This window comes from Homo sapiens, chromosome X, assembly GCF_000001405.40.
Source record: "Homo sapiens chromosome X, GRCh38.p14 Primary Assembly".
Classification (NCBI taxonomy): Eukaryota; Metazoa; Chordata; class Mammalia; order Primates; family Hominidae; genus Homo; species Homo sapiens.
In genome coordinates this window covers 21,128,199-21,137,675 of record NC_000023.11, presented here as the reverse complement: position 1 = coordinate 21,137,675, position 9,477 = coordinate 21,128,199, and positions in this window count along the sequence as shown.

Here is a 9,477-nt window from a genome sequence, read left to right as displayed (position 1 = left end):
TTGGCTGGGGTTGGCTGATCTAGGATGGCCTCAAGTGGGATCACTTGATTCTCTCCCACATGGTCTCATCCTTCAACAGACTAGTTTGGACTTGTTTTCCTGATAGTTGCATGAACCAAGAGAGTAATTATAACCACACAACTGCCTTCTCAAGCTTCTGATTGCATAAAATATTTTACTATTCCTTTGGTGAAGCAAGTTACATGGCCAGGTCCAAAGTCATTGTAGAGGATACTATCAAAGGCCATGGATACAAGCACACATGAAAAATTGGGGCTAATATTGTAATCAGTCTTCTAAACTCTACCATATATTTATTGAGATCATGTGGTCCATCACACTACTCATGCACATAGTATACAAGCCACAAAAATCTATTGTCAATTATATGTAAATGGTTGAAAATCATTGCCTTTTATTGTTCTCATTATTCTCTGCTTAATGGTTCCTTGAAGGTGCCCTTTGAAAAACCAGATGTCAGTGATATGGTGTTGACAGAGACTGTGGTGACTTTCTGACAACCCATGCTTTTCCCTTTTCTTTCCCAATGTAGATTCTGTTTTCTGTTTCTATGTGGGCACAGACTGACACATCGCTTTCAATCTTTCAGAGAATAAATTTGACTGGGTAAAAATATTGTTAGCCTTTTACAGGAACTAATGAATTCAGCTGTCTTCTTAGCATCCCTCCTCTCTTCTTCCTTCACTTCCTTTCATGTGTTTATTTTAAATAAGAGTTCATACATTCTTCTGTGTGGGTATTCATTATGGGAACATGGATTATTAGGATAAAACTTGTTAGCACATTTACAATTGTAGTTTCTTCTATTTTAAAGTTTGTTGCATTGCAAGCAAAATCTTTGCAAAGTCAATTAGTATTAGACAAGATTGTTAATATAATACAATGCTATCTGAATATGTGAATACTTGTTAAATATTTGTTGCACATGAAGCTAACTGAAAATAAGGATAATAATATAAAGTTGTTTCCTTTCACGAATCAGAACTATGGAACTTCTCTAAACAGTCTAGTTGCAACTTGACTTTTACAACAGTTACTATTCTTCTCTCACATGTGTTTTTGATCTTTTTTGCCAAGTACTCTTTGGCAAGGTAACTTTATTTATGCCCTGAAATAATTATATCTACATTCAATTCATGAGTCCCTCAAAATTCATATACTTTATGAAGCATTTATTTATGGTGAGTAAAGTGAAATCATTCTGACTACATTGTGCCTTCAAATAAGCATTTTTATACTTAATACAGCTTGTGCTTGTTAAGAGAAAATATGGGTAAATATTCACTTGTTCTCTGAATGGGGAAAGGTTTACAAGAATAAAAGCAATATGAAAAATAATCATAAAAGAAAGGTTAGATAGATTTGTCTGCATAAAAATTCTAAATTTCTATACAATGTTAACAATAAAAATCCAACTTAAAATTACTGGCAAAATATATGGTGCGAAAAATATATATAACAAAGTATTAATGTCTTTTAATATATAAAGGTACTAATAAAGCTATGAGATAAAACTGTCTGGTAGAAAAAATGGACTATGGTCATTAAAAAATCACAAAATAAAAAAATGACAAATCATCAATACATTTATGTGTGAAATGATAAACCGCATTAAAAAAAAGAATGGTAAAATAATGAGATAGCCATTGTAACCATAAAATTAGGGAAGAATGACCAAACATAACATTCTGAGCAATCACTGGTGCTCTCGGAAGAGCATGTTCACACACTGCTCATGGGAGGATATATTTGTAACAATCCTTTTGTAAAACAATTTGGCCAATGTACTGATTATCTGAAATACATTCTTACCTTTGATTGATGCATTCTACTTCTAAGAATCCATCTTAAGGGAACATTTGGAAAGCCAGGCAAAGTTTGATAAGGTTTTAAGGTTTTTTTGATGTCTACTACTAATTATGCCTGAAGTAATATTTCCATCAGGCTGCAGAAGCTCACCCAAAACCTTGTCATTGGTCCCAGTTTAGATTGAGTAGTTCAGGTGACTGAAGGCTCCCAAATTCTTAATGTGTTCTATTTCAGGATACCTTCTGTGTATATAGTCCAAGTTTTCATTTTACCCACTCCATTCTATTTCCAAACAGGTCTACACTGCCAGCAGTGATTGATCAAGAATTTGTTTAAGTTTGTCAATTCAGTATTCTGCAGAAAAGGGTACCAATGTGTTAGTCTCCAGAGCATTAGCAACTGAACGACAAACAATTCAGGTGTGGCAAAAAGGCTTGCTGGGATAGTAGCTTCTGCTTCTCCTTGGGGAACTCATTAAAAGCTGGAAGATGGCTGAGTCTTTTAGAGTCTGGATACACTAGCATGTCAACAACACTGAAATTTGTTTTTCAAGTGCTCAGTCATCTAGGAAATGCCTTTATGTGGAAATCTACTAGGTTGTCTCACCTTTTTCATTGGTGTGTCATGATATTAACTCTAATTCTTCCAACCAAACTTATGGTAGATCTAGTTAGAGGCTGGATATTCTATCCCACATTTCAGCATTGAGGTCAAGAAAATCAGCGGGAGTCTGATTTGAAGGAAAACAGATGTTTGATAAGTATGATAGTATAACAACAACAACAATAACAACAAAAACTTACTTTTTTTCTTGTATTATTATTTTTTCTTTATTTCTCCTAAAAAAAAAGGGATATAAGTGCAGAAAGTGCAGGTTTGTTACATAGGTATATGTGTGCCATGGTGGTTTGCTGCACCTATTGACCCATCTTCTAAGCTCCCTTCCCTCACTCTCCACCCCCCAACAGGCCCTGGTATGTGTTACTCCCCTCTCTGTGTCCATGTATTCTCAATGTTCAACTCCCACTTATGAGTAAGAACATGCGGTGTTTGGTTTTCTGTTCCTGTGTTAGTTTGCTGAGGATGATGGCTTCCAGCTTCATCCATGTCCCTGCAAAGGACATGATCTCATTCCTTTTTATGGCTGCATAGTATTCCATGGTGTATATGTGCCAGATTTTCTTTATCCAGTCTATCATTGATGGGGATTTGGGTTGGTTCCATGTCCTTGCTATTGTGAATAGTGCTGCAATAAAAATACATGTGCATGTGTCTTTATAGTAGAATGATTTATCATCCTTAGAGTATATACTCAGTAATGGGATTGCTAGGTCAAATGGTATTTCTGGTTCTAGATCCTTGAGGAATCACCATACTGTCTTCCACAGTGGTTGAAATAATTACATTTCCACCAACAGTATAAAAGTGTTTCTATTTCTCCACATCCTCGCCAGCATCTATCGTTTCCTGACTTTTTAATAATCGCCATTCTGACTGGCATGAGATGGTACCTCATTGTGGTTTTGATTTGCATTTCTCTGACTATCAGTGATGTTGAGCTTTTTCAAATATTTGTTGGCTGCATAACTGTCTTCTTTTGAGAAGTGTCTGTTCATATCCTTAGCCCACTTTTTGATGGGATTGTTTGTTTTCTTCTTGTAAATATGTTTAAGTTCCTTGTAAATTTTGCATATTAGACCTTTGTCAGATGGGTGGATGGAAAAAACTTTCTCCCATTCTGTAGGCTGCCTGTTCAGTCTGATGATAGTTTCTTTTGCTGTGCGGAAGCTCTTTAGTTTACTTAGATCCCATTTGTCAATTTTGGCTTTTGTTGCAATTGCTTTTGGAGTTTTCATCATGAAGTCTTTCTCCATGCCAATGTCCTGAATGGTATTGCCCAGGTTTTCTTCTAGGGTTTTTATGGTCTTAGGTTTACATTTAAGTCTTTAATCCATCTTGAGTTAATTTTTGTATAATTTGTAAGGAAAGGGGATCCAGTTTCAGTTTTCTACATACAGCTAGCCAGTTTTCACAGCACCATTTGCTGAATAGGAGATCCTTTCCCCATTGCTTGTTTTGGTCAGGTTTGTCAAAGATCAGATGGTTGTAGATGTGTGGTGTTATTTCTGAGGCTTCTGTTCTGCTCCATTGGTCTATATGTCTGTTTTGGTACCAGTACCATGCTGTTTTGGTTACTGTAGCCTTGTAGTATACTTTGAAGTCAGGTAATGTGATGCCTCCAACTTTGTTCTTTTTGCAAAAGCTTACTTTTATTGAGTGCTTATTATGAGGCAGATAATGTGCTAAACTCTTTACCTAGATTATCTCATTCAACTCTCCTAGCCATCCTTAAATAGAGGAGTTATAATGATTCTTATTTCACAAATGATGCAATCTGAACTCTGATGACTTGACTCCTGAACTTCTGCTCTTAGCCATGAGATTAATGTGAAATGAGTTTGAGAATGTGGAGCCTGTGGTTGCCAATCCAAGTTCAACAGCTTCAAAGCCCAGTTTCCAAATTTTCTGGAAGTACTACATTCAGGTTCACAGACCCAAAAAAAGCTGGCCATTCTCACCGGCACAGAGAATTATGTCTAAAATACTCAAATGTGTTGGCTGGACCTGCTGGTACTTCCTCCACATGCCATAGCCAACTGATGACTCGTGTGTCTAACCTGAATATATCTTACCCAGCAAACAGTGGAAGGCCCAAACAGGCAGAATTTGTCTAATACAAGTAAATCTAAGCATTTTTTTCTTTTGATTTATCAAAGATGGTCCTAACATTCCTTGTGTATCTTTAAAATTATATGAATGTATGAAAAATCCTGCATTGAATGAGGTCAAGTTCTTTGCCCTTGGGGGCTTGAAATTTCATGTATCAAAAGCTCAGAGATTCTTTTGAGAGCAGTTATAGCCACAATTCATCACACACTTGGTATTTGCCCAACAGGCACATTAATAAGTGCTTTACATATTTTTCCATTTAATCCTAACAACAACCCTACTAAATAGACATGATTATCCCAGGTTTTACACATGAGAGACCTAAGACTCAGAGAATTTAAGAAAGTTGCCCAAGATTCCAAAGCAAGTAAATTGGAACTAGGCTGTCTGATTTAAAGGCCTCTGTTTCGAACCGCTGCACTTATTCAAGACTGCTCAAACTTTAATGCATGTAAGAATCACCTGGGAGTCTTGCTAAACTACAGATTCTGCTTTATTGGGTCTGGAATGGGGCTTGACATTTTACACTTCTAACAAGCTCCTGTCTGTGGCTTATGCTTCTGGTCTATGAACAATTGTTTGAATAGCAAGGTTTTATACCTTCCCCATAAAGGGAAAAACCAGACTTCAAGTTAAAGATTGCAGAAGGAAACTTTTCTTAATTGTCCTAATGAGTAAAAATAAATATTAATATAAAAATAGCAATAGCTAAATTACTAGTCAAACACTGTTCTAAACACTTTACATGTTATATTTCATTTTGCCCACACAACAACCCTTAGAAGTAGATAATACACATGGGGAAAATAGGGCACAGAGTAGTCAATACATAGGTCTTGTTCCTCAACATCTTCTTATTCTTCCCCATTTCACATAGTTTTTCAATGCCTAAAATTGCATAATTAGAGAGATTCATTACCTTGTTTCCATTTAAAAAGCCAACTCCTGTGGGAGGTAATATATTGCTTTATCATTTGTTTATACCTTAGTTTCATTTTTTTTTTTTAACAAAGGAACTGGGAGGAAACAGAGTACAAAACACATAAGGACATTGGGTTCCCGAAGAAAGGAAAAAGAAATAGAAAAGAGAGACTAAGTCTCCAAGGAAGCTTGGCACAAGCTGCTTCACAAATTACTGTATGAGCCCCAGTGGTTTCTCCCACACATATTCCAAAGCTGAAGCCAGTGGTAAGATAAGATAAATAAAATTCAAGATAAGAAATCAAATTAAGTTGTCGATTTATTACCTATGTAGGGATCACCATGGAGACAACCAAAGAACTCTCACCATAGAGACCTCTGCCCAACCCTGTCTACCTGAAATTATCAGCATATCATAAAAAAAAGATACAGAAATAATTTTGGGAAGGAAGACCACAAAGCAAACAGGCTTGAGCCCCAGGACTGGTGATGGGATGATGTAATAATTCAGAGAGAATTTCTAAGGTTGATCTTTCAAAGTTATGTTTCTGGACGCCACATAGTTTCTCCAGGTATGAGAGAAATTTGCAGATCTTACCTCATGTCAGCATGATTGGAGAAGAGTCAACTTGGTAACCGCATCACCAACTCTAACCCTCTTGTAAAAGGAGACAACTCAAATGGTGATTCTTACTGCTGGAGAATCACCATGGCAATGTGACTCCCAGCCCACTCCTCTGCACCATGAACACTATGATGAAACCAAAAAGTATTAGGTAGCAGTAACCTTGGCAACACGGATTTTTGTTAAGCAGCTCTGACCCAACACAAGTGTCCTTTCAAAGAGTAGACTCCACAAAATACAGCAATTTGTCCTCGGTGGATACTTTAAACATTTTTTCTATTTTGTATAAAAAGAATATGGAAATAATATTATCATAGATTGAGCTCCTCAGGAAGAAGACTTTGACATGAAGTTTAACATGCAAAATAGTTATTAGGGAGTGCCCTTAGGGTATTAGGGGAAGGAAGCAGAGCTTGGAGACAGGGAGAAGTTGAAGTACAAGGCAGGCCAAACGATACCCGTGGCTGACTCTAGAGAGAGCTCTAAAACTAGAATGGCCCTTCAGAGTTGTTCCAAGTTGGGTCAAGATGGCCAGGTCATTTTACCCTTGCAATGACTGGTCATTGGGTGTGGATCATTGGGTAAGGGATGTGACACTGGGTCAGATGGCTTTTTGTGTCTGAGGCAAGTGGGAAGGGGCTGAGAGCTGAAGGCCGCCTGCTAACAGTACTGCCAACAGCTAAGACAACAAGCCCTTTACTGAAGCAGAATCAGGGTGGCATATCACTGCATCCACCACAAATAGTAATGGCTTCAAAGTACCAGGAGTTCCAAAGTTAGATAAGTAAGATTCAATTTTTATTTTTAAATTAGGAAAACATTTTTCTATTTGATTAACTACTTCTTTTTTTGTATGTTTGTTTGTTTCGAGACGGAGTTTCGCTCTTGTCGCCCAGGCTGGAGTGCAATGGTGTGATCTCGGCTCACTGCAACCTCCGCCTCCCGGATTCAAGTGATTCTCCCGCCTCAGCCTCCCAAGTAGCTGGGATTACAGGTGCATGCCACCACGCACAGCTAATTTTTTGTATTTTTAGTAGAGATGGGGTTTCACCATGTTGGCCAGGCTGGTCTTGAACTCCTGACCTCAGGTGATCCACCTGCCTCGGCCTTCCAAAGTGTTGGGATTACAGGCATGAGCCACCGCGCCTGGCTTGATTAACTACTTCTTGAGGCAAATAAATTTAAGAGATTCTGCTCAGTATAAGAAATCATTTCACTGGTCTTTGTATTCAGAAAATTAATAAAAAGAAATGCATTTTTATCCCCTACTCTGAATAAAAACCAAATAGATTACTCATTCCAGTTTTACAGTGTACACGTGTGTTTAAGTGTCAATGTGTATTTTTTCCATTTTCTTAGTGAGTCAGGAAAGCGTGCAAAGAGGTTTAAATAATGAATTACCATATATGTAATATACTCATTTATTCATTTAGCAAATATTTATTAAGTATCAATTATGTCATGGCACTGTAGTAGCCATTGGGTCTATAAAAATAAGTAGTAATGTTCCCCTTCCTGTGTCCATGTGATCTCATTGTTCAATTCCCACCTATGAGTGAGAATATGCGGTGTTTGGTTTTTTGGGGGGAGGGGGGAGGGATAGCATTGGGAGATATACCTAATGCTAGATGACGAGTTAGTGGGTGCAGCGCACCAGCGTGGCACATGTATACATATGTAACTAACCTGCACAATGTGCACATGTACCCTAAAACTTAAAGTATAATGATAAAAGAAAAAAAAAAAGAAAAAGAAAAACAAACAAAAAAAATTAAGTTGTAACAAAGAATCTGATCAAATAATTATGCTAAAGCAAACTCTGAAAGAATAAAAGAATAGTAGGAGGAATAGTAGTGGGTAGAAAAAATAGGTGGAAAGAAGCATTTACGTTTCACAATTTTCCTTTTATAGCTGTCATTTGATAAAGAAGAGATGTGCATGAGCAGCCCTCAACAGTATAAGGGTAAATGAGAAAAACAACCATCGACTTCATTTACTATCAACCTTGTATTATATCCCTTCTATAGTTTTGGTTACTTTTTTGTTAGGTGGCTGTCCTTCTGTCTGGGGTTAATGGACTTCAGTAGGTTCTTTCATTGTCTGTGTAATGCATATTCATAATTAAGAAGCTTGAATTTGCCTATAAAATGATCAGTGGTTATCAATGCACTGGATGGTATCTGTGAAAATGGGCATCTAAAGACACCAATAGCAGACTGGAGAAGAGTACATCACTTCTTTCAGTGTGGATGTAGCAATTTGAAAAGACTAAGTACTCTCATCTTTAACAATCTGAGAACTTTGCTGAAAGAGATTCTAAAATTGGGAGACGGGGCCAGACAGGTTCTTGGATTAAAATGATTAAGAGTACCATTGTCTGTTTATGTTTACATCCTTGAGCAAGCAACTCAATTCAATAAAAAGCAAAACATCTTGAGTGGAGGATATTTTTTGGTATCCTGGGGAATAGATTTCATCCAGAGGTTGCACCAAGAAAAAGCGAATAGCTCTTTACAAAACAACCTCTAATAATATTTTATTTAATCTACTTCTGAAAGCCATCCAAGAGAGACTGGTTTTCTTTCCTTAATTGAATCTCATGTACCTTTGACCCATTCTTACCAGGATATCTTTCTACTTTGTGTTTACCTCAATTTTATTTTTATTAACTCTTAAAAGTTGTTTTAAAGTCAATCTCCTCACTTTTGTGAAGAGTTCTGAAAAACTGTTTCAACTCTTTCTCACCGCAAGATCTGCTGAGACACAGGTGGAATCGATGGATGGGCAATGAGAAGATGAAAGTTGACTACAAATTTAGAGCTTTGGACCAACAACATCAGCATCACCTGAGAATGTGTTAGCAATGCAGACACTCAGGCCTCACCCAAGAACTCCTGAGTCATAATCTGCATTTTAGCAAGATTCTAGGGTGAATTATATGCACACTAAAGTCTGGAAGGCACTGAACTACAACATTTGTGAAAAAGTCTCTCCTCTCTAGCTAACATCACGGAACCGTTAGATACTTAATTTTCTTCCCTGAGTCTTTGTTCTTGGGCTAAGAACACTGCATTCAGTTTGCAATGCAAAAGACAATTATCGAACAAAGGATGAAAGAATAAATGAGACAAAAATCAAATAGCAAGATGGTAGGCTTAAATCCAAACATATCAATAATTACATTAAATGTAAAGGGACCAAACACTCCAACTAAAAGGCAGAAATTGTCAGACTGGATAAAAAAGCGAGATCCAAATGTAAGCCATTTATAAAAGATGTCCTTTCCAGCCTGGGTGACAAAGTGAGACCCCGTCTCTATAAAAAATAAACAAAATTAGCCAGGCATGGTAATGTGTGCCTGTAGCCTCAGT